This window comes from Homo sapiens, chromosome 4, assembly GCF_000001405.40.
Source record: "Homo sapiens chromosome 4, GRCh38.p14 Primary Assembly".
In the NCBI taxonomy this organism is placed as follows: Eukaryota; Metazoa; Chordata; class Mammalia; order Primates; family Hominidae; genus Homo; species Homo sapiens.
In genome coordinates, this window is record NC_000004.12 from 150,759,905 (window position 1) to 150,787,033 (window position 27,129).

General features: G+C 37.0%; 1 protein-coding gene across 9 annotated transcripts in view, besides 1 other annotated feature; it reads right to left on the reverse strand.

The window, feature by feature from the left end:
- LRBA (LPS responsive beige-like anchor protein) overlaps window positions 1-27,129 on the reverse strand; it is a 751,293-nt gene that overhangs the window by 495,470 nt on the left and 228,694 nt on the right. For all 9 annotated transcript variants that reach the window (XM_047416462.1, NM_001367550.1, NM_006726.5 and 6 more), the window contains exon 35: window positions 1,879-1,943. In XM_047416462.1, coding sequence (XP_047272418.1) covers window positions 1,879-1,943 — 65 coding nt within the window. The remainder of the gene's footprint in view (window positions 1-1,878; window positions 1,944-27,129) is intronic.
- Window positions 9,501-9,640: an enhancer, noted in NCBI's record as "active region_22015". NCBI's record gives its function as "activates an Ori minimal core promoter by ATAC-STARR-seq in GM12878 lymphoblastoid cells {active_cell/tissue: GM12878}" and the evidence as "EXISTENCE:reporter gene assay evidence [ECO:0000049][PMID:35858748]".

A 27,129-nucleotide genomic window follows, 5' to 3' on the forward strand; every position in this document is an offset into this window, starting at 1 on the left:
TTAAGTCTATGTTGCCTCATCTATTAAATGTAACAATAACATACATAAATAAGGGTAGTTACACTTAGTAAAGTCTACGATGTTCAAAATCACCTCATATAAATTTTTCTTTAAAAAAGCCCTGGAATTATACTTCAATAAACACTAAAAATTATAAAAAATCTGTTCATGGGTGTTTTGCATTAAGCAGAACATTTGTGTATTTAATCGACAGCTCCAGTCACCTCTTTTTCCATATATAAACTTCAATATCATCCAATACCTCAGTGTTGAAATCAGTCGAAAGCTATTTTTCAATAAATATACACTTTGAAATGTTTACTAAAAGAGTAAAGAATTAGTCATTATTTCATTAATTGCCCTATGAATTAGTAATCACTGATATAAATCTATATCAGTTTTTATTGATCACCTACTACTTGCCACACTCTACATGAAAATGTATCTCTATGTTTCATATAGATCACTGTAGTAACCTTGCTACTGTTCTTCATTTCAATCAGGTCTTCCCTCCTTCAACCTATCCTAAACAATTCCGCCAGTTATCTTTCCAAACCCGAAATATCACAATGACTCTTTTGTTTAAAATCTTCCAAGGCTTCCCACGATCTTGAGGGATCTAGATGCCCAATTCCAACAACACCTCTCCAACACACACACACACACACACACACGAATATCCTGTACACCTTCCCACATTACAATGCCTTCAGATATTCTGTTCCCTGTGTTTGAAATGTTTTTCACACAAATGTCCTCCAATTTTTCCATAACCTCCAATTTTCTAATGTTTACATGACAAATCGTACTGATCCTTGAAATGCACCTCAAGAATCATGGTTCCTGGTTAAGTTTTAAGCACCCTGTACTTACATATTTCTATCACAGAATTTAGCATGAAGTATTATAATTGCAGGTTACTAGTCTGTGAGCACCTGTAATTATTTCTGAAGGAAAGGATTTTAGTAGTATTTAAAATCAAATAAAGTTACGAATACTCTTTTCGCCCTTTTCCATAACATTTATGAGAGATAGAGAGCAAACCTTGATTCCTAGATGCAAGTTCAAATAGTTACCAAAGGACTGATAGGGTCAATCTTCCAACAACATTACCTAAAACACTAATCGAACATTGCTGAAACAGTAAGTTTGTTCAGAATACTATCTCGAAGGGGAGTCAGTCACATCTTTTAATCTATACTCTGGGTCTTCAGTTCCATTAATGCAAAATCAGCTACTACAAATCAGACAAAAAGTGGTCCACTAATCATTTCCTCAATTTCTTTTTACCTTTTAATGATTTCACTCTTTTACATTTGTTTTCTCCCTTTTATCTCTCTTTTCATCTCTGTACTTTCTTCCCTTCTCTTACCCACCACTGAATTTTCTTTCCTTGAATTCTTCTGTTTCTGTTCTTTAAGTAGAAAATATACCTCCTTATTTCCTCTATCACCTTTCTCACCACATCACATTGCGAAACTTGTCCCCCCTCCCATTATGATCAGCGTGTGATATAAGAAAGATAATATAGACATCTAATTCTAATTATTGGCTCTACACACATAAAATAACTTGATAGAAAGTCCAAATAAGTATGGCTTTTCCTTATACCTGCAAATAGAATTAACAGTTTACTTTTCCCAAACTCAGCCACACTTTTTGAAAAATAAAAATCAGAAATGTATCAGTAAGCTTGCATCTAAAGAAAATTATAAAATGGTTAAATATTAACATATACATAATAATTGATATATCAGAGCTCCATTACATTACTGACTGAACAAACAGTAAATACAGAACCCAAAAATATCAATGCCTATAGGAAAAACCCAAGATTTTAAAGAAAAATACAAAATGAATTAAAATAAAATAAATTACCTTCCTTCATTGACAAGTTCGATAAAAGCAAGGCCTGCATTCTTCTGAATAGAATTTTGCCACTCCTATAAAAAAAAAAGCAAAAATAGCTGAAGAAATGTCACTCAGTAGGTTCTTTCTTTTAAAACAATAATAATGAAAAATATCACCCATATCAATTTCATGCCTAACTCTTAAAAGTTATGTTAAACCATATGAACAGGTAATACTGAAAAGTATACTGACACTAAACAAGTTAGCAACAATTTGATTCTGTGTAAATTAAATGAGCCTATCTATATTTATCTTGCCCTTTTCATTACATAACACGATATACTAATTTATCTGAAATAGTTGGGAGCTGGGAAAGAAGGTAACAAAGAAAACCAAGGACAAATAGACATTTTGGTTTTGGCTTTGTTTTTCCATTTATTTTAAGATGTATTACCCAAAATGAAGAGAAGAAAGAATTAAATAGTTCAATAACCCTAATAAAAACAGCATAGTTCACCATAAAAATTGATGACTAGCAACTGAAAATGAAATTAGAAAAATCAGTGAATTGAGCTAAACCAGTTTTGAGTTAGAAACTATAATTCACTGCCCTATGAATTAGTAATATCTGGTATAAATCTACTAACTATATTCTTGATCCATTTGAAATTTACCCATTAAACTTTATCCACTAAAAAGCAATCCATTAAAAAGCCTAGGAATGAAATCAATCAATAGAGTATGTACAAATGAATATTTTAATCCTTAAAACAAAAAATATATATAATAAGCATTAATACAATAAGGAAAGGCCTACATGAACTGAAATATACCTAGATTTGAAAAATGCTCGTGAATGCCACTTGTGTGTATGTGCGTGTGTGTGTGTGCCTATATAAACACACACACAAAGATTTGCTTTTAAAGAACTGGAAATACATACATAATCTTCATATTTCTTAATATTTAAGGAGCTCTTTGTATTCTAACTACATAATATCCCTCAACTGATCTTTTTTTGTTCTTTCATAAAACCCAAATCAAAAGGCCATGTCTGGCTACTTACCACTGCTCACTATAAACCATATTCATATTTTCTGAGTGTAATAACTCTAAGACTTTCAAATTCCATGCAATTTCACCCTAATAGCTATTCCGTTCCACTCCAAATTCTTTTCTTTTTCATTCTCATCCTTTCTCTTCTACCTTCTCTTTTCCATGTCCACTTTCATACTTACCTTCTTTTGTGTTTTTGAAAAACCCAAGGTGGTTCTTAAGACTAAAACAATCACATGACATGATTTTGTCAAAGGATTATATTTTATGAATAGTATTAGTATAACTATGCTAACAGAACAAATACAGTAGAATAAAAATTAAATAGAAAATCAGTAAAACGTTGGAGGGTAGTCACTGGCTAGAACTAGCAGAGAAGAAAAAGTAACGTATTCTCAAGGAATGAGCAAGAAACAAATTCATAAAATCCATGTTCTCATTCTGATACTAACAGAATATATCCTTAGGCATATCGTGCTACATCTGCAGGTCTTAGATATTATCTTCTAAAAGTGTATTCTAGGTATAATTTTTATTATTCTAAAATTTACTAACATTTAGAAATTCATGACTTGTAATTGTACAATATATACTCTCTAAAATTCATACTGAATTCATATTTTACCAAAACTGTAAAACAGGGATACTAAATTTTTTCCAGCGAGGTAAAACAAACCAATATAAAACAGAAATATGAATCTAATTTAAAAGCATTTTCTTTCCATCAAAATAAAATGAAGACAAGTAGTCCAAAAGGAAGCAATCAAATTCCACAAGACTATATTCTTGAGAGAAGGGCATGTGCCACGAAAAGGTAGGAGAATGATGACAAAAAGCAGAAACCTCAAATTTTTTTTTTATTTTGGTACAGAGGGTCCCACACCTAACTTCCCAAGCACAGCACAGAGAGATAAGACTCAAAGACTTACCCTAAATCTAGTAATGCACAAGAACAGTAGAACAGGAACAAATTTAAAGACAGATGGACCTCAGCTAGGAAGATTCAAAAAATTATCATGGAAGGAGGCAGAAGCAGCTTAGGATTTAAGAAGATGAAGAGAACATAACCATGACCTCTGTGGATAGGCAGCAAGTGATCAGCAAGAAGTACGATACTTCAAGAGATGCCACAGCCAAACAACACAAGCATATGTTCATTCCTCAGCTCTTATACCTAACATAACATTCTTGGAAACCCAACTAGAAATTTGACATAATACAAGAATAGGAAGGAAAGTGAGACCTCAAGTTGAGTGAGTTTTCACTTAGATCATTTAACTTACAGAAAACTTCAAAATAGAAACTTAGTTAAAGAAGAAAATGAAGAAAATTACCTTTCTTGCTAGAAAAAAAGAAGTCAGTAATTACAGAAGAACTAAAATTCTGTATATAAATCTTTAGATTAGTCATTTTACTTTTAAAAGTATCCACTGTCAGGAAAACGTCAAGAATGTCCCCTCTCACCACTATCTTTCAACATCATTCTGGAAGTCCTGGCTAATGCAGTAAGACAAGAAAAGGATAAAAATTGAAAAAGAAGAAATAAAACTGTCTTTGTTGATGACATAATCATCTATATAGAAAATCTTAAATAATCTACAAAAAATCCTGGAATAAGCAATAAATAGCAAGGTTACAGGATACAAGGTTAATATACAAAAGTCAACCACTTTCCTATGTATCAGTAATAACAAGTCACACACTGGGATAAAATCATTTGTAAAAGACATCTGATAAAGAATTGTGCAAAATATACAAATAACTCTTAAAAGTCAACAAAAACAAACAATCACATTAAACAATGGGCCAAAGACTTTGACACCTCACCAAAGAAGATATACAAATGGCAAATAAGCATATGAAAGATTGTCCACATGTCACTGGGGAAAGGCAAATTAAGACTAGATACCATTAGACACCTATAAGAATGGCCAAAATCCAGTACACTGACATCACCTAATGCAAGGATGTGGTACAAGAATAAATGAAATCTCAGTCATTGCTGGTGGGAATGCAAAATGATACAGTCTCACTGGAAGACAGTTTGATGGTTCCTAACAAAACTAAGCCTACTCTTACCACAAGATCCAGCAATTTCACTTTTTAGTGTTTAACCAAGGGAGTTGAAAACTTATGACCACTTAGAAATTTGCACATGGAGATTTATAGCAGCTTTATTCATAAATGCCAAAACTTAGAAGCAAACAAAATGTCCTTCAGAAGGCGAATGGATAAATTGTGGTACAACCAGACAATGGAATATTATTCAGCGCTAAAAAAAAAAAAGAGCTATCAAGCCATGAAAGGACATGGAGAAAATGTAAAAGTATATTACTAAGAGAAAGAAACTAATATGAAAGGTTACATACTGTATGATTTCTACTATATGACATTTTGGAAAAGGCAAAACTATGGAGAAATGTAAAAAGATCCGTGTTTATAGGGGTTAGTGGGAATGGAGGGGAGCACAAAGGATTTTTAGGTCAATAAAACTACTCTGCATGAAACTATAATGATGAAGACACACCACTACACATTTGTCTAAACTCACAGAATGCACAACACCAGAGTGAACCCTAATGTAAACTATGGACTTTGGGTGATAATGATATGTCAAAGGAGGTTCATGCATTATAACACACATGCCAGTCTCGTGAAGAATGCTGACAAGAGAGAAGGCTATGAGTGTGTAGGGGAAAGGGAAATGTGGGAAATCTCTACCTTTTGATGAATTTTGCTGTGAATGTAAAACTGCTCTAAAAAGTAATGTCTTTTAAAAATTAGTAATAAAAAAGTATTTACTAGTACTATTTTTCTCAAATCCATTTGTTCTGATCCAAAACTGCAATGGGAAAGGATTTTTATTACATAATTCAGACAAAATGCAAAACTCCACATGGATGAAATAGATAACAGCAGAAAGACCCATATATTAAGTAGGCAGGTAAAGGGTAAACATCATTTAGATTTTATTTTCATTATATACAGAAACTTTTAATTACATTGTCAAATCAGAAATTGTGCCATTTAGATTTCACAAAGATTTTAAGTAGCATTATTGGGGTTAGACTGAAAACCAGTTAAAGTTAGTATAACTATCAAAACTTAACCACACTAAAAATTTGTAATCTAAACTTATCTTGGTATGTCACAGGAAATATTTCTTTTCAATTAAAAACAAATTAGACATGAAGGTACATATATAATTGAAGAAGTTCAGTGTTTTATGGAGGCTCAGAAACTCAAATTTATTACTAGTAATACATTATGCTTCTGGTTTTCTCGAGGATCATCTATAAACCCATATTTGTTAACCTTCAGTAATTATTACATAATAACCTGAAATAAAATGTTCTCATTAATTTTTTCAAATTGGCTAAAATTAGGAATAAAATGAAAATACAAACCTTATACTTTTGGTTATTGTTAAAAATTATCACAAATCTCAGGAATATCCTTATGTTTTCATTTCTCTATAATACAGTCCTAATTACTAATTATTACCATTTAATAAAATACCAAATGCCAGATATACAAATGCATACTAAAAAGAATAGCCTATATAAAAAGAATCTGAAGCCCATGAGAATATTTTTTCAATTTGTTTATAATCCAGGTGTTAGTCAAAGCCAACAAGTTTTCTCCATACTAAAACATTCTCTACAGTAATTCACAGAAGTTGCCAAAACTAAAAAGAATATTCCTGAACTATGCTATCCTAAACCATTTTTCTCCACTTCAGAAACAATTATCAAGGAAGGTGTTAGTCTAAACAATTTCATAAACCACAGCTCAATATAACCCTTAGTGAGTTTTAATAGTTAAAAGAAAAGCTTAATGGTCATCGTCTTTCATGATCGTTTCAATATTTCATCACAGTATTTACAATTATACAGTGATGCAAAATGCATAGTACATTTAAAGGTCTTGGTTATCCTTCTCCCAGAGGTACTGATGAAAAACATGTTAAAAGCCTCAAATCCAACCACTAATGCAACTAAGTAATTTCAAAACACATTTCAGCACTTTGGAGAGGAAGAACTCAAAACAAAACAAGAGAGTCAATAATTTCATACCTGTTCCTAAGCTGTATTTAATTGACTATCACTTCCTAAGGCCATAATTGTTGACTAGTCAATTTTTACTAAAATATACTCTTAGCTTACTGATGCTTTTAAGTCACACAACAAAAACAGTGAAGATAATACATATTAGTGAAATCTACTACATAGATCTCCACCAAATTTCAAGACTGTATTCTTGGTGGTAAAAGTTAGTTAGGGCAACAAAAGACTTCATTAACCTAACATTATCTATTCCTGCCTATCCTCAACAAATAAATATAAAGAAAAAGATACCAATTAACACACTATGCATTCAAATTATTGTAATAAAATTCTAATTTCTTTAGACATGAACTTGACAGTTTTCTATAAATAATCTCCTAGAACGTATTTTAGTGACGAATACACTAAATAAATTTATCTCAATTTTAAAAGTAATTCCCAAATATTAGCATGTTCTAAAGCAGAAAAAATCAGGCCACAGATTAAAAAGATTACATATAATCTACTCTGCTATCATTTTATTTTGTCAAGCCATGAATACTGATTAACATTAAATATAGTAGCATTTGATTCTGGTGGGCAGATCTTTAACATAACTTTTAGTATTAAAAAATTTTTTTTCTGTAATCCCAGAACTTTGGGGGGCCAAGGCAGGCAGATCACGAGGTCAGGAGATCGAGACCATCCTGGCCAACACGGTGAAATCCCATCTCTACTAAAAATACAAAAATTAGCCGGGCATGGTGGCGGGTGCCTGTAGTCCCGGCTTCTCAGGAGGCTGAGGCAGGAGAATGGCGTGAACCCGGGAGGCAGAGCTTGCAGTGAGCCAAGATTGCACCACTGCACTCCAGCCTGGGCAACAGAGCGAGACTTGTTGCAAAAAAAAAAAAAAAAAAAAAATTTGGCCAGGCGCGGTGGCTCACACGTGTAATTCCAGCACTTTGGGAGGCCGAGGTGGGCAGACCAGGAGGTCAGGAGATCAAGACCAACCTGGCCAACATGGTGAAACCCCATCTCTACTTTAAAAATACAAAAATTAGTCAGGCGTGGTGGTGCACGCCTGTAATCACAGCTACTCAAGAGGCTGAGGCAGAAGAATCACTTAAACCTGGGAGGCAGAGGTTGCAGTGAGCCAAGATCACGCCACTGCACTCCAGCCTGGGCAACAGAATGAGACTCTGTCTCAAAAAAAAAAAAAAAAAAAAGTTTTTTTTTTCAAGAGAGGTAGATAATGAGTGACTTCAGGTTAAACATAGTAAATCTGAGAATAAAGAGGGGGCAACAGTACATGAGATACATTAAGAAATTTATTTTACAACCTGGAAACACATGAGTTAGTAGTAATAAATGCACTTAGAGGACCAAAGAAAACAAAACTCTACACAACAAAGTAGAGGAATCAACATGAGGAAGGAAATCAATGCTTGTCACAAAAACTCCAGAAAAGCTAGGAATTGAAGGCACTGAGTACATACGAAGGTGGCTGAGGGAAAGAGATGCAAGTTGGCATAAAAAGAAAGTTAGAATCCCACATCTTCTCCCTATGCTGTGTAGCCATCCTACCATGGTAAACATTGGAAGTTTATTTTCCAGAAAAGTTATAATTAAGGAAATTATTAAAAAGCTATAATGAAAAAGGCAAGATAAATTGAAAGTATACAAACTGGACTATGACATTGTGAGTGATATTTGAAAACTTTTCTGAGAAAATTGAGAAGCTAGGATAAAAGGTAATCCTCTACAAATAACAAAGGGAACTCATGCATCACCAGTGGACAACTCATACCCAGACATATAGATTTTCTCTGTGTTATGCTTAGGAATGAGCAAATTGCCAAAGTTAACCAGACATTTGAGGAAACCCTCTTCTGTGATGACAGACACCAAAGCAAACAGGCAGAGGAGAAAAACGACTCATAGAAAACAGACAATATTGTTAAGAGGGTGAGGAAAAGAAGATTAAAGAAAAGTATAATTAAATATCATAGGAAAATTTTTTTAAATTTCATCTAAAATATCAAGATAGGGATTTTATCAAGTGCTGTCTCCTTTTTTTTTTTTTTTTTTTTTTTTTTTTGAGACACAGTCTCACTCTGTCACCCAGGCTGGAGAGCAGTGGCGCAATCTCGGCTCACTGCAACCTCCGCCTCTGGGTTCAAGCAACTCTCCTGCGTCAGCTTTCCGAGTAGCTAGGACTACAGGTGTGCATCACCACACTCAGCTAATTTTTTATTATTATTATTTTTAGTAGAGATGGGTTTTCACCATGTTGGCTAGGCTGGTCTCGAACTCCTGACCTCAAGTAATCCACCCGCCTCGGCTTCCCAAAGTGCTGGGATTACAGGAGTGAGCCACCATGCCCGGCCTATCAACTGCTATTTCTATGCCCCGGTATTAATCAGGATTCTTCAGAGACACAGAACGAATGGGAAGAGAGAGAGACAGAGAGAGACACAGACAGAGAGACACAGAGACAGAGAGAGAAAGAGAGAAGAGATTATAAGGAACTGACTCACACAATTACATTGGCTAACAAGTGCCAATATCTACAGGATGAGTCAGCAAGACCAATGGCACAGTCTGAAGGTCAGCAGCCTCTAGACCCAGGAAGAGACAAATTTGAATCCAAAAGTGAGAAAAAACTAAAGTCATAATTAGAAGGCAGTTAGGCAGAAGAAATTCTCTCTACTGGGGGAAGAGTCAGCCTTTTGGTTTTATTCAGGCATTCAGCTGATTGGATAATGCCCAACACTAACAGGGAGGGCAATCTTTTTTACTCAGTCTACCAATTTAAACTTAAATTTCATCCAGAAAAGACTCTCACAGATACAGCTAGAATAACATTTGACCAAATATCTAAACAGCCTGTGACCCAAATGACACACAAATTAACCATCACAAGTCCACCCCTTGTCAGCTTGGCACTCATATACATCTCCTCAAACCACATTTCATTACCAAATGAAGATTAATAACAAGGTTATAATTCTACCTAACATGATACAACTATTCTGTATACAACCAAAACCATTCTAAACCTGTGACAGTCAATTTTATGTGTCAACTTGACAGGACTAACAAATGCCCAGGGAGCTGATAAAACATGATTTCTGGTTGTGTCTGTGAGGTTGTTCCACAACAGATCAGCATTTGAAGTGGTAAAGAAGATCTACCTTCACCGGTGTGAGTCAGCATCAATCACCCGATTTGTTGAGGGCCCGAATAAAATGAAAAGGCAGAGGAAGTGGGAGTTCATCTGTTTCTGTTGGGAAAGACATCCTCTTCACTTGCCCTCACATTAGCACTCCAGGGTCTCAGGACTTCAGACTCAGACTGGGACTTACACCATTGGTTTTCCCGGGCCTTTAAGTTTTAGACAGCAGATCATGGGACCTCTCAGCCTCCATAATTGCATGAGCCAATCCCTCATAATAAATTTCTTTGTCTGTATCTATATATATCCTATTGGTTCTATTTCTCTGGAGAACCCTAATATAAACCCATTCCCCACCTTAGCTGATATGTATACTTTCCTAATATCCCACAATTTACATATTTACATACTAGGATGTACAGTTAACAATATGATCTACAGTTAACAATACTTAAATACTATGGTGTTGATATTATAAACTCAATACATCTTAAGTTGCATGGTGAGGGATTAAAAGAGGAAAGAAAACAAAGATTTTATATATATATATATATACACACACACACACACACACACAAACACATATACACACACAAAATAAGAAAGAAATGTAACAATTACATTTCTTGTTCTGTAAATGGTCATGTGATCACAGTTGGTATCTACAACTACCTTTTTTCACTGCCTATTCTGTATTCCCTTTGTCTTCAGCAAGCACCTCAGCTGGTCCTGGTACTGTACCTAATAGGGTGACCCAAAGCTTCATTCCTGAAGGGTCTGGGCTGCTTTAGTAGTCCTACCTGGATTGTATTACCAGTGCTCCTCAACTTAATCACACAGTATGGTAATACTAAGATATGCACTGAGGAATCTCTTGTATTCTAGACATACTCTTCCTTACTTTTATTGTGGTATAGTTCAATTTCCCCACAGTAGTCAGGATCAATCACTACTCTTAGCATGATAACTCCATTTTTGCCTGAGGATTCAGAGGCAGGAGGAGCCCAAAGTGGCTGGGAAGCAATCTTAACTTCCGGTTCAATGGAATCATTGTTGTGCCTCCTGGTGGAAGCATTTCTCCCTTTGGAAGTAAGACCTCTAGGCCAGCAGACTGTAAGATCACAGGAACAGGAAGCAAAACTTTTGCTATTGGGTCACTAGAGGTAATAACAAGTGGTAACACTCCCATTTCTACCTGTTGATTCCTGGACCAATGAATCCTACCTGTGGGGAGAAACAGCACCATATACTGGATGCTGATTCAGTACACATATATCCTTCTGGAAAACCTTGTCCCAGCCATATAAGGTATTGCCACCTACATTCAGTTCTATCAAGCCAGCTGCTTGAGGATGGTGGGGAACATAGCAAGGCCAGTGAATTCCATGAGCATTCATTTGCTGTGAAATAGATTTCTTAATCAGAAGCAATGCTAAGCAATACAATGAAGGTTGATAAAGCATTCTGTGAATCCACAGATGGTAGTCTGGGCAGAAGTACGGCATGCAGGGAAGATAAATTTGTATCCAGAGTGAGTGTCTACTCTGATAAGAACAAAATGCTGCCCCTTCTATGATGGAAGGGGTCAAATGCAATCAACTTGCTACCAGGTAACAGGTTGATCATCCTAGGGAACAGTGCCTTATCAGGGACTTACTGTTGGTCTCCACTGCCAGCAGATTTGACACTCAGCAGTGGCCACAGCCAGGTTGGCTTGCTGAGTGGAAGTTCAGGTTGCTGAGTCCTTGGATAACCTCCATCCCTGCCACCATGGCCACCTTGTTCATGAGCTCACTGGGCACTGGTGGGCGGCTGGGGAAAGAGGCTGACTAGTATCCACAGAACAGGTGTTCCCAGCCACTTTAGTATTAAAATTATCCTCTGTTGAAGTCACCCTTCAGTGAGCATTCACATAGGACACAAATACACAGTATTCAGATTTTTTCTCCCATTCATAGACATCTATACACATACCTCTTCCCCTAAACTTTTTTTGTCAACAATTTTCTACTCATGTCCCTTCCAAGTCTCTGACCATCCAGACAAACCAATAGCCACAGCCCATGAATTAATAATCACATTTATCCTTCCAAAAAAAGTAAACAATCAGGTACACTCCTCAAAGTTCTGTCCACTGAGAAGATTATTCTTCACTACAGTCCATCAGGGATGTCCCAAAAAAGGGCTGTAGTGCTCCAACTGTTCACTTTCAGGTGGTGCCTGCATATTGTCAGAACAATCTATACACCAGGCCCAAGTCTTCTCCTCTGGCAACTGATCACAGGACTCACCAAGAGACCATAGGTACGGGCTGGCAAAGAGAAGGTAGTGTAGCAGAACTGAGGACCATAGGATATTTGGGCCACTTCATGCAACTTACTTGTGTTTTCAAGCATTGCTTGGGCCTGATCACATGTACATCACTTCGATTTGATGACAGAGTGCTTCTGTGCATGTACAACTTGATGGCTTAGTAGGACAGATAACATTCAGTTCATAATAAGCAGCTCAGTCACTTGTTAATTTGGTGGCCCAGTGTTAACTGTTCAGTCTCTACTTAAACCTAGTGACAGGCCAAGAGTTGTTTCTCAAAAGGAGAATATTTGTCTGGGAAGGATGTCAGGGCCTTGCTCCAAAATCCTATGGGTTTGCATTGCAATTTACCTAAAGGGGCCCGTCAAAGGCTCCAAATAGCATCCCCATCTGCCACTGACACTTGAAGCACCATTAGATCTCCTGGAGCCTATGGCTTGCACAGCAGCCTGAACCTGTTACAGAGCCTTCTCTTGTTCTGAGTTCTACTCAGAACTATCAGCTTTTCAGGTAACTCAGAAAATGGGACAGAGTAACATATCCAAATGAGGAATACGTTGCCTCTAAAATCCATAGAGTCTACAGCCATACCACCCTGAAAATGCCCAATCTCATCTAAAAGCCATAAACGGTCACTAGCATGTACCTTTTTGGTTATAGGAGGGGCCAGATACAACTTATTCTTCACCTAAGAAGGGGTATCTCGACATGTCCCACAACACTGGAGCCCTAGAAATTTCACTGAGGTGGATTTACCTTCCAACTTCTGACATGCAAATGCCTTACCAAAAAGTCTGGTAGTTACAACTTCTTGCTCACTAAGTGGAACCAGCATAATGTCATCAATGTAATGGACGACTGTGATTTCTCTGTGGAAGTGAAAAGTGATAAAGATCCATGCAAACTAAATTATGACATACAGCTAGAAAGCCAGATACTCCTGACATAGAGCAGTTAAGGGACACTGCTAGCCTTGCTAGCTGAAAGAAAACGACTTCTAGTGGTCCTTATTGACAAGTATGGAGAAAAAAAGGCATTTGTCACGTCTATTAGGTGCCAGGGAATGTGTCAATTTGCTCAAGCATTGAAACCACATCTGGTACAGCAGCAGTACTTGGAGTTACCACCTGGTTATGCTTATAATAATACACTGTCATTCTCAAAGATTCATGTGTCTTCTGCATAGGCCAAATAGGCAAGTGAGATGAATATATGCTGGAAATTACCACACCTGTGTCAAATCCTTGATGGAGGAAAATCCTTCCAGAAATACAGTATTGCTTTTGGCTTATAATTTTCTTAGGTAGAGGCAGTTCAGTGGCTTCCACCTGGGGCCTTTCCCATCATAATAACCCTCACTCAATAGGTCAGGAAACCAATGTGGAGACACTGCCAATTTCTGAGTATGTCTATTCCAACTATGCATTCCAGAACTTGGGAAATAATGACAAGATGAATTCGAAGACTCACTAGGCCTATTGTGAGAGAGTGCTCACCTAAAACTCTATTGATCATCTGGCCCCCATAAGCTTCCCTGATATTTTAGGTCTCTTGGACTCATTGTCACTTCAGAGCCAAAGTCCAATAATCTGATTATTTCCTTTTCCCCAGTGAACAGTAACCCTGGTAAAAGGTCACAGGTCCCTTTGAAGAAGAGTGAGGAAAAGATTAACAGTATAAATTTTGGTGGCACACCAGTGTATAGAGCACCCTTGACATAACATAGACATCTTTCTATCTTAGAAAAAGACTCCATTTTATATTTCATGGAGCATTTTGCCAACAAGGATGTTTTGTTTAATTAAAAAAATAAATCAAAACCTAAAAATTGCATCCAACCAGATGAGGATACAACAGACACATTCTTCCACTATCAGTTCTGACCAGAGGACTCTGTGACTATGAAAGATTAGGCCTTCAACATCTTGCAGTCACTTGTGATAAGAATTTGGCATCTGCTGACAAAGGATCTACCACCTCAAAGACTTGTCGTTGTAAGACTGACTGACCACCCAGCCGAGACCAGGACTCCTTTTGTCTTCTTCGCTCCCCAAGGACTGGTTTATTAACCCTTTCTCCTATCTCTTTTCCCTCTCGATGTTAAAATGTTACTTTGTTGTGGAATGTTTAACTTATAATATTTATACATTGATTAAATATACTATTATGTATGGTTTGCAATACTGACTGACTTGTAGAATGGCTTCAGCCTGTGTGCCCACAGCTCTGACTACTGAGTGAACGGGAAGTATAAGGATAATTGCCTCATTGAGAAATCCATGTAGCTTGTGGCTTTTGTGATTAAAATGCATCAATAAAAGCCTGACATTGTGAAAAGACACATATATGTGTGGACCTGGTTACTTCTAACCTTGTACTGGTCATGAGAAAATGAGTCCTTCCTCAAGGGGACCCAGCTTCCCCTTCCTTCACAAAGTTCTGGTCCTGTAAATTGGCTCAACTTGGGAAATTGATTGAGGGGCCATGACTCACTGCTTTTATGATTAAAGTTAGGTATTTGTTCACTTGATCTAGAACTTTTCTGCGTATACAGGTAAAATAAAAAAATTAATAGGCATACTATCTACTTCTCCCCTACATACACCATGATCAATTCACCAATGTCATAGATCTGCTCCAGTCAAATCAGCATCACAGTTCTGCTTGCTGCTTTGACTCTGCTGTCCATTATGGTGACCACATTCAACTTGCCTTTGGTGACTGAATGCCACCACTTGGCTCCTGCCAGCTCAGGATCCAATTACTCCCAATGCGTTCAGGTTTTCTAATTGACCAGCTGTAGTTCCTACCATAAGGTCTGATCTACAAAGAAGGGTAGTCGTAGAGCTCTTCAAGAAAGCTGAGCCTCCCTTTAAAAATTTATTTCTCACAGTACACGGAAGTGTATCTTCAAGACCCTGCAGTGTGAGTAAGTAGGTCTTACATTATAAATCTACTCCAAAGTTCCAATCTCCCCAAATTATTTTATTTATTTAGAGACAAAGCCTTACTACATCCCCAGTGCTAAAACAGTGACCAGTACATATGAATTAGTGATCCACAAATGTTCAATCAACATACATTTCTAAAAGGAAGTCTGCAATGGAACACACACACACACACACACACACACACACACACACACACACACACACACAGTGATTGCAGCATAAGAGAGGAAAGAGGGAAATTCTAGGCTGATGATAAAAGAAGCGTCTAACATAAAAGCTTCCTATAGATCTAAAGGACAACCAGACTAGATTGGAATAGGAAAAAGGGGACTCTAGGTGCTATATTTCCAAGCAAAACAATTGAACCAATAAATATCCAGTGGGTTTAACCACTTTTTCCAATGCGTTTTATGATTACAGAGAAAAATTTAAAGATCAATTTGTGGTGAGTGCACAGAAATATAAGTAAAGGAAAAAGGACAAAATCATTAGTTCTACAAGAAAGAATGAAAAAAAAAAAAAAAAAAAAAAGACCAGCAAGCAAGAGAGGGGAGAGGAAGGACGAGTAAGGGAAGAGAGGAGGAGGGAAAAGAGAAGAAGGAGCAGAGAAGAGAGAGGAGGGCAGAAGAGGAGAAAAGAGGGGAGAAAAAAAAGAAAGAAAAATATGTAATTCATAGTACATTTTTTAGCTCTGGCATAAATACATGATAATAACGTAAATACTAAGTATGGTTTTAACAAATGTTATTATGAAAGTATATTAGAAAGAAGCAGGAGAGTGAAAGTTAAAAGGAGAGGAGTTTAAGTACTCAATGGTCGTCTTTCACAAAAGATTAATGTTCAAAGTTTAAAAATCAAGAAACAGTAATTCATGGCTGGGTGCAGTGGTGCACGCCTATAATCCTAGCCACTAGGGAGGCTGAGGCAGGAGAATCCCTTGAACCCAGGAGGCAGAGATTGTAGGGAGCCAAGATCATGCCACTGCATTCCAGCCTAGGTGACAGAGCCAGACTGTGTCTCAAAAAACAAACAAAAAAAGAAATAGTAATTCAAGCATATCACTGTCAACAACCAAAAACATTTGAAAGATGTGGCTGCTTCCAAGAGTTAAGAATCAATCACGGGGAAGAGGGGGAAAAGAGGCAGAGAACTATTGTTTATCTGTTTCGTATTATACTATTATTTGGGTGCTTTATTTGATGAAAAATAAATTTTAAATTAAAAATCATATGCCCAGCTGAACACACTGGCTCACGCATGTAATCTCAGCACTTTAGGAGACCAAGGCCAGTGGATCACCTGAGGCCAGGAATTCAAGACCAGCCTGGCAACATGGTGAAACCCCATCTCTACTGAAAATACAAAAATTAGCCGGGCATGGTGGCGGGCACCCATAATCCCAGCTACTCAGGAGGCTGAGGCAGTATTGTTTGAACCCAGGAGGCACAGGTTGCAGTGAGCCAAGATCGCACCACTGCACTCCAGCCTGGATGACAAAGTGAGACTCCGTGTCAAAAAAATAAAAATAAAAATAAATCATATGCCCTAAATATATAGAATAGTAGATGAATAAAAAATAAAAATTGTAATACACACATATTTTTGTAACTGGACAACAGGTATTTATCCAAGATTATTCTTGAAAATCTCTAAAAAATAGAACATGCATTCAAGTTTTACAAATATGAAAAAAACTATGAAAATACAAAAGTATTATAAGCTAACTATTAAGAATCTGTACTTTTTTTAAAGTCAGTTTTTTGAGGGGTTTTGTTGTTGTTGTTGTTGTTGTTGTTGTTGTTGTTGTTGTTTGAAAAAGACAGGGTCTCACTCTCTCGCCCAGGCAAAGTGCAGGGGCATGATTATAGCTCACTGTAGCCTCAAATTCCTGACCTCAAGCAATCCTCCTGCCTTGGCCTCCCAAAGTGTTGGGAATATTGGTATGAGCCACTGCACCGGATCTAAATTCAATATTGTAACCTACCAAATGGAATTTGAGTTTATTTCCATTTCTACTCGTAGTAATACTACCCTTTTTTATAAGTTTTGCTCTCAGAAACCAAACATAATTTATATTAAAGAATAAAGAAAAAAAAAATTTTAAACCTGAACTCATGTCAAACTGTTTCATTTTCCTTATTATAAAAATATAAAAATTTAAAGGTTTAGGTTCTTCAATGAAATATCCACATTGATTTGTTAAGATGTAGTTATCTATGCCCTTGTAAAACGAAGCGAATTGGATGGATGTACCTCCAATTACCTAAATAGTTGACAGAAACACTCCTAGGAGTTCAGGGAGAAAGCCAGGGAGGATAGCTCAAATGAGGAAGGGAATGTATTAACACAAAACTGAGAAACACATTACACACAAGACTAAAGGTCAAAACTAGGCAAAACTGGCCAGGTGCAGTGGCTCCCATCTGTAATCCCAGCACTCTGGGAGGCCAAGGTGGGAGGATCACGAGGTCAAGAAATTGAGACCATCCTGGCCAACATGGTGAAACCCCGTCTCTACTAAAATACCAAAATTAGCTGGGCATAGTGCATGCCTGTAGTCCCAGCTACTCAGGAGGCTGAGGCAGGAGAATCGCTTGAACCCAGGAGGCAGAGGTTGCAGTGAGCCAAGATCACACCACTGCATTCCAGCCTGGAGACAGAGTGAGACTCTGTTTCAAAAAAAAAAAAAAAAAAAAAAAAAAACTAGGCAAAACTGTTCATGCTCAAGATACAGTAATCTTAAGTGCTCAAAGTAAACTATCATTAACTTTTCAACAATGTTTGCACTTTGTGTCAGCACTCTCTCAACATCATATCTAACACAAACTTAAATAATCACATACCACAAAAGAATATAGTGTAACAATAAAGGAAAGATTTTATTCTATTGTGTCTTTAATCACTCTGTGAAATAGTAAAATAGAATACTGCCCTTCGGAAAGTTTTGGTTTCCCTTATTTTTGTGAACATATTCATCTAATATGTACCTGTAGCTTGTATAAATATTACAGGTCAGTTAGTAAAGAACTGAATAAAGAGAAAGTAACTATTCATGGCATTCACAAAATATATAAATATCTTAAACTCCAAAAAATTAAGATAACCATGCAAATCAATTATGTAATTACTATAAACACATTTTTAATTATTTGTAAATAATCAAAAAATCCTCTTGCTTTTATGTTTAGGCACATGAAATATTAATATATTTGCAAGTACCTCTAAAAATCTGTATTTACAGTTTTTCAGGTAAAACATATCTCCAGACAATAATGATCCTTCCAGTGACTTCCAAACTGGCATCAATTTACTCAAGATCTTTCACTAATCAATACAGAAAGCTTAATTTCCATAAAGGTGACAAAAAAGTTGCTCTAACTCTTTCCAGCTACAAGCTCTCAACAGATGATCATCATTAAGTCTGTATCAGGGCTCCACATTTAGGAGCCATATAAATGTGTCCTATTAGTACACGGTCAGTCTGTTTGGCAACTCTAGTTCTTCAGACATATGGCAATTGCTGCCCTTTGAGGTCTGAAGTCAAGTCTTTAGGGAATCTCAAAGCTTGCACTGAAATTACAAGGAGTGTTCATTAGAGACTTCTGGAGGGGAAACATGAAAGACTTCCATTAAAACTATATAAAACAGCTAATTATTTTTAAAAGATTTTTAAACCATCTAATGTTCTCAACTATAATAAAAAGTATTTACCAACTGAATTATTTTTAGAAGCACTACTTCAGGACATGGGTGCAAACAGGTTTCTTCCTACCTCCTATCTCCCACCTCAATACATACATATTTATTTTATAAGAATTATCAACTCAAGATTTCAATACTTTTAATTTAGAATTAAATTATCTCATACTTCTAAATTCTGTCTACAGACCACTATAAACATTTTCTAAACAAAGTTATTCTTAGAGACAAATGTTTGTTTTCTAATATTTAGCTTAGGATAATATATAGCCAACTTAAACCCAGCCAGAAATACATATGTGTTTCTTTTTAAATGTTTCTTTTTTATTCAAAAGTCTGCCTCTATTTTAATTTTTATTTTATTTTAAACTAATAATCATAAAAAATTTTAAGCATAAAATGATATAAAGTATTAGTCAATAAAGTGGCATTTATTAGATAATATTATGCAAAACAGGAAAACACATGAAGGTTTAATGTTTACTTTTTTTAATATACTTAAGTTGATAAGGAGGAGTTCAAAGAAATCTCATATATTTACTGTCAGAATTTTGAAAAACATAAAAAGTATATTTTCTAATTAATGATTGCTTCCATTTTAACTTTTTGAATGTCTAGACACTTTTTAACTCGAGAGAAAATCATTATTTATTAAGTTTTGCAATAAAACAATCCTACTACTGAATATTTATTTCAGTAACAAATCTTTATAAACTTATATAAAATTCATTAGCTTGCCTCAATCATTTCTTGAATCCACATATATGTTGGTTTCTGACAGCGTAATTCCAAAAAGTAATTACAACCTCAATCCATTTGTAAAAAGACAACAGAAAACAAGTATGTTACACCAGTTTAAAAGAATAAAAATCTAAAGAAAACAGATTACAAATGATTTATATGAATGCCTAGTGGTGAAGTTAATTACAAGTAACCCAATAAAATAGTGCCTTTATTATTGTACAGCAAGTAAAAGCTCTAGATGTAAAAACCAGAACTCTTTCTGCTGACTTCTGCATGCTCAATCCCACAGCACACAACATTAAGAATTAAACATGTGGTAAATAAGCCATATAGAAAACAGCAGTTTTTAAGTAAAAGCAGAAAACTTTCCTGCTGTTTAACCATTTGGGGCCTTCTACTCTGAATAACAACCACTGTAAACTGGCACTATGTATTCATGGAATAAGTTTTTATGGTTAATATGAAAATGAGATTTTAATTTCAGTGCTCAAAGTTTAACTCCAAATAAAACATAAATAACTGTAAAATAACACAGCATTCATTTTAGCATTCAGTAGGAGCAAATAAGGTATCTTATGTTTATGCTATGAAATGGTGATATCTACAGAATTTAAATTTTCCAAACCTCATAATACATCTACCTATAAAGCTTTGGTCTCTGAATTTAAACATATATTAGCAAAGACATATACACTTTATGTTACAGTAACTTCTTATGGTTGTCAAGAGTCACAACCTAAAGCCAGTCATAGTATGCTTAATGACTTTCCTGGTGTACAGAAATAAGACCTTTCAATCCAGAACGACTCAGTAACTCTTATCAAATATTTATCAATGTTCTCAATGAGACAATAGCTGATACCAACTATATATATATACATATATATACACGTATATATATATATATGTGTATATATATACGTGTGTGTGTGTATATATATATATGCATACCAAGTATAATACAAAGTCCTAATACATATTATGCATAAACATCATGATATAAGCCAGCAGTCCCCAACCTTTTTGGCACCAGGGACCAGTTTCATGGAAGACAATTTTTCCACAGACAAGGGGGTGAGGGGGGGGAATGGTTTCAGGATGATTCAAGCACATTACATTTATCGTGCATTTTATTTTATTTATTTATTTATTTATTTTGAGACGGAGTCTCGCTCTGTCACCCAGGCTGGAGTGCAGTGGCACCAGCTCGGCTCACTGCAAGCTTCACCTCCCGGGTTCATGCCATTTTCCTGCCTCAGCCTCTCGAGTAGCTGGGACTACAGGCGCCCACCACCACGCCTGGCTAATTTTTTGTATTTTTAGTAGAGACAGGGTTTCGCCATGTTAGCCAGGATGGTCTCGATCTCCTGACCTCATGATCCGCCTGCCTCGGCCTCCCAGAGTGCTGGGATTACAGGCGTGAGCCACCACGCCCGGCCGTGCATTTTATTTTTATTACTACATTGTACTATGTAGCAAAATAATTATATAATGAACCATAATGTAGAATCAGTGGGAGCACTCAGCTTGTTTTCCTGCAACTAGACAGTCCCATCTGGGGGTGATGGGAGACAGTGACAGATTATCAGGCATTAGATTCTCATAAGGAGCACACAACTTAGATCAGCTGCACGCACAGTTCACAACAGGGTTCATGCTCTGATGAGATTCTAATGCCGCTGCTGATCTGACAGGAGGCGGAGCTCAGGCAGTAATGCCAGTGATAGGGAGCGGCTATAAATACAGATGAAGCTTGGCTGGCTCACCTGCCGCTCACCTCCTGCATGGCCTGGTTTCTAACAGTCCACAGACTGGTACTGTGGCCCAGGAGTTGGGGACGTCTGTTTTAAACCATTGTTTGATCTACAACATAACTGAAATAATAAATGATGAAATACTTGATAACTTGGTTTTGCCCCAGAAATAAAACAGGACTGATAAACAATCAACAGTGCATCTCTCTAGTGGTATTTTATTCCTATTAATTTCACCTCCATTAGAAATCAATACAATATTAATTTATTTTGCACCTTTTTTTCTGAGTCAAAATCATCACAAATCTGTCTCCTCAACCCTCCTACTTTAAAAGTAGGGACCTCTACCCTCCTTAAGTCCTCAACAGTGCCTAATTCAATTTTCCATACAACAAACATTTGAATACTTGTTTTTATTTTTTTAATTTTTTTGAGAACAGGGTCTTGTTCTGTCACTCACTGAAATGCAGCGGTGCTATCACAATTCACTGCAGCCTTGACCCCCCTGGGTTCAAGCGATCCTCCCATCTCAGCATCCCAGTAGCTAGGACTGCAGGTGCACACCATCGTGCCCAGCTAATTTTTGCATATTTTGTAGAAACAGGGTTTTACCATGTTGCCCAGGCTGGTCTCAAACTCCTGGACTCAAGCAATTCTCCCACCTCAGCCTCCCAAAGTGCTGGGATTTCAGGCGTGAGCCACTGCACCTGGTCTTGCTTGTTAAATAAATCATAACTTAACACTGTTACTGAAAGAGGGAGAAACACTTCATTAAGAATACTCAGAGACTTTCAAAGCATTACTGGATATATTAGTTTCTTGTAGCTGCTGTAACAAATTGCCACAAACTTGGTGGCTTAAAGTACTATAAATTTGTTTTCTCATAATTCTAAAGGCCAGAAGTCTGAAATCAGTTTTACTGAGCCAAAATAAAAGTATCAGTAGAGCCATTCTCCTTCTGGAGACTCCAGGGGAGACTCTGTTCCTTGCTTCTTCCAGCTTCTGGTGGCTGTCAGCATTCCTTGGCTTGTGGCCAAAGAAAACAGGGTCTCTCTGCTCCATTTTCACATTGCCTTGTCCTCCATTTCTCTGTCTGTAGCCTCCCACTAACGATCTCTAATAATGATACATACGATAACATTTAGGGTGTACCCACATAATCCAAAATTATCTTTTCATCTCAAAATCTTTATCTTAATAAGATCTGGAAAGACATTTTTCCAAATAAACTAACATTCACAGGTTCCAGGGATTTGTCATGGCTATTTGTTGGGGAGCCATGTCTCAGTCAATCACGCTGAAGAAACCAAATGAGAACAGAAAGAGCAAGCAGACGAAAAGTGAACCTTACCAGCAAGTGCAAATTCAAAATATGCAAAGGAAACAAAAACTTTTTTTTTTAAATTTAGTGCTGTGTGGCAAGAACTGGAAAAAAAAATTAAACAAATCAAGTCACCTTATGCTCCAAGTGTTGGTTCTAATAATGACTGCATTGTGACTGGTTTTGTTTTCAATGTCAGAAATTCAGCTTAATTTGTTAAGTATAAAGCCTATCAGGCTGCAATAAACTGAAAGGTGGGCAGCTGAGCTTCTTGTGACAAGCTGATATCACACCGAGCAATCTAACTGCCTAATGCCAGAGTACTTAAGGCAGCAGTCCAGATTTGCTAAGGAGACTGGTTAAGCAACAGAAAGCTTCTTAAAAGTTCTCCCTCATTATTTTACTTTCTCACTGCCCCTAACCAACTTCTTTTTCCCTTTTTAACTTACAATACTAGCAAATAGAATCCTGTTCTCACGAATTAGTAGCACTTCACAAACAATTATAGGATAATAGCGTACCGTTCCAATGGATAGAAATACAAGACAAGTCTGAAAGATCAAGCAACTTTCTAAGTGCTCTCAAGTAAAGAAATAGGTAAGCTTTTCTGAGAAAAAGAAATAAAAAGAAACCAAAATTAAATTTAACTTCAATTTTGTAGTATCTGATACACTGCAACAAGAATAAACTGACAAGCCAGCCAGCAAACAAGGCAGTACTGATGTTTCAATTAAATGCCTAATTATAATCTGAGCTTCTAAATGAAGAATTTACAGAAATAAATAATTACTACCAAAAAGAATGCACTGTGTTGTATCCAGTATTCAGGACCTTGGTAAACAGTTTCACACTCACTATCTATAAAAGCCCACTGTGGAAGAGAAAGTGTCAGGAGAATGTGGGGAACAGATTTAGGGTCACACAGTTTGGGGTTTCTGGTTAACTACCTAGAAGATAGTGTGATATGCTTAACACATATGTCTCATATATGGATACTATTTGTAAGTCAGCATGGAAATAAGTATAAATGAAAATAAAACAGCTATTAAGAGGCCTTGAAAATAAGGCAGAGAAGTTTGAATTTGACAAAACAGTAAACAACTACAGCTTCTCCTGGAAAGAAAATATAAAGACACTCTACTAGGAAAGTAAATTTGTTAGTATGTACTCAGAGATAAAATCAGGAGAAAGGAAAAAGGGCATTTCACTAATTCAGGAATAAATTGGACCAGAATCTAATTCTTTTATCTCACTCTCTGCCCAAGTTTTATTAAGGTATAACTGAGAAAAAGAAATTGTATATATTTATATATCCAAGGTGATTTGATACGTGCATAAATTGTAAAATAATTAAATCAAGCTAATTAACATATCTATAGCCTCATATACTTATCACTTTGTGGTGATGCTGTAGGAGTTATTAAGAAATTATTTTAGGCAGATAGAGAGGAAAAGGGGTCCTCGGGAAGTTTTCATTTTTAAAGCTGCTTCAGAAACGTTTCTTGTAAAAGTCCTGGCTCTTTGAGCCTGATGGCAACCTTTGATATGCAAATTTAGGCCATTTGAAACTGGGTCCACCCAAACTTGGTGATTATCGCTGCCTTTTTGCCCTTGCCCCACATGATCCTGGCAACACAGCTGCCCCCACATATCCCCATGTGTGTAGAACATCATGGTGCCCTGTATTTGCATATTAAAAGGCTAGGGTGGGAGGCCCAGCCTTTTTGCCCTACGTGAATGACATGCCTGGTCAAACCAATCCCCTGAGCCCTATGCAAATCAGACACCACCTCCTCCAGCCTCTACATATACCTGACTGGTATCCACTGCATTTGGGGTTCCCTCTCTTGGCTTTGGAGCCCCGCTCCCTCTGTCTCTGTACAGGGGAGCTCCTTCCTTCTTTCTTTCCCCTTTCTATCTTGCCTATTAAACTCTCTGCTCCTTAAAACCACTCCACGTGTGTCAGTGTCATTTTATCTAAACTGGCATGAGGATCAAGAACCCTGGTGTTCCTCCACTCATCGGAGTCATATCAGTGAGAACATTTAAGATCTACACTCTTAGCCAGAATCTGATTCTTTACAGAGGGCTTTTGAAAATGATATTTCCTTTTATTTCTCCCCAATTTGTAACCACCCAATGGGCTCACCTTGCCCGCTGCCTAGACAGAGCCGATTTATCAAGACAGGGAAATTGCAATAGAGAAAAAATCGTTCATGCAGAACCTGCTGTGCGTGAGATAAGAGTTTTATTATCACTCAAATCAGTCTCCCCAAAACCTGGGGGTTTGTTTTTCAGGATAATTTGGTGGGGAGGAGGCCAGTTAGTCAGGAGTGCTGATTGTTTGGATTGGGGATGAAATCATAGGGAGTCAAAGTTGTCCTCTTATGCTGAGTTAGTTCGGGGCGGGGGCGTGGGGACAGAACTGGTTGGCAAGTTCAGGTGGGGCCATCTGGTTGTCAGAAATGCAAAAACCCGAAAAGACATCTTAAAGGCCAATCATAGGTTCACAGTAGTGATGTTATTTTCGAGAGTATTTGGAGAAGTTGCAATCTTATGACCTCTGGAAAAATGTCTGGTAATATTTAGAATTCCAGCCCCTCTCATCCTAACTTGGTGGCTGGTGGCCTTTCATTCATTTTACAAGAACAGTCTAGCTTTTGGGAAGGGCTACTATTTAAACTATAAATGAAATTCCTTGTCAAGGCTAGTTTGGCCTACGCCTAGGAATGAACAAGGACAGCTTGGAGGTTAAAAGCAAGATGGAGTTGGTTAGGTCTGATATATTTCAGTGTCATAATTTCCTTAGTTATAATTTTGCAAAGGAGGTTTCAAATTCTACTAGGACTCAGGAATCATCATAATGAACAACTGTTAATGATAATAATGTACTTGACCAGAAAAAAAAGGTGGATTATCACAGAACTAGATTAACTACTATAAAAGTATTTCTCAACTACGGTAAAACAGGAGGTACGTTGAAAGTAACATAGTATAAACAAAAAGCACTAAAGTTGACAAAAGGGGCACTTAAAAACAATTAGAGTAGTAATACAAGTAACACGACATCAGTGTTACTTGTATTTTGGTACATTTTGTTTAGTATCCCAGAAAGGGCAGTCATTAATAGCTAGCACATAAAAACCACGGAATCATCTTTGGGAGCCTATTGAAAAAGTGAATGTTATCCATTATCCTTGTCTACATGGAAATGAAGGCCAGAAATGGCTAATCTATGAGACCTCGTCTAGCTCCACCAGGTTAGGAGGATGAGAAGTGCCTGAATTCTGTTAAGATGTAGGCATAGTTATCAGCCATTGTTCCAGAGGTCACAACATTTGCAACTTCCCTAATTACTCCCGTAAATAACATCACTGTTGTAGACCCTAAGGTTGGCCACCTTTTGAGATGTCTTTTAAGACTTTTGCATTTTGCATTTCTTTTTTTTTTTTTTTTGAGATGGAGTCGCCTGGGCTGGAGTGCCAATGGCATGATCTCAGCTCACCGCAAGTTCCGCCTCCTGGGTTCAAGCTATTCTCCTGCCTCAGCCTCCCGAGCAGCTGGGACTACAGGCACCCGCCACCACGCCCAGCTAATTTTTGCATTTTTAGTAGAGACGGGGTTTTGCCATGTTGTCCAGGCTGGTCTCAAACTCCTGACCTCAGATGATCCACCCAGCTCAGCCTCCCAAAGTGCTGAGATTACAGGCATGAGCCACTGCTCCTGGCCTAGACTTTTGTATTTCTGATGACCAGATCACTCCAGCCAGACTCAAGATTCATGACTCAAGGGTCCTGTAGCCCTCACCCAGAAGTGGACTCAGCAAAAGAGGACCATTTTCCACCATCCAATGATTTTATCCCCAAACTATCAGCAGCACTCTGACCAAAAAAATATGTTTAAAAAACCCTAGTCTCCAAATTTTTAGGGAGGCTGATCTGAGTACTAATAAAACTCCACAGTCTTCTATTTAGCCAGCTGTATGTGTATTAAACTTTTTCCCTATTGCAATTCCCCAGTATTCATAAATTGGCTCTACCTTGGCAGCAGGCAAGAAGAACCTATTGGGCAATTACATTGGAAATACCGAATAAATGAAGAGGATTTTGAGTGCTGTTAAAAAATACTCAGATTCGGCCAGGTGTGGTGGCTGACGCCTCTAATCCCAGCACTTTGGGAGGCAAAGGTGAGCAAATCACCTGAAGTAGAGAGTTCAAGA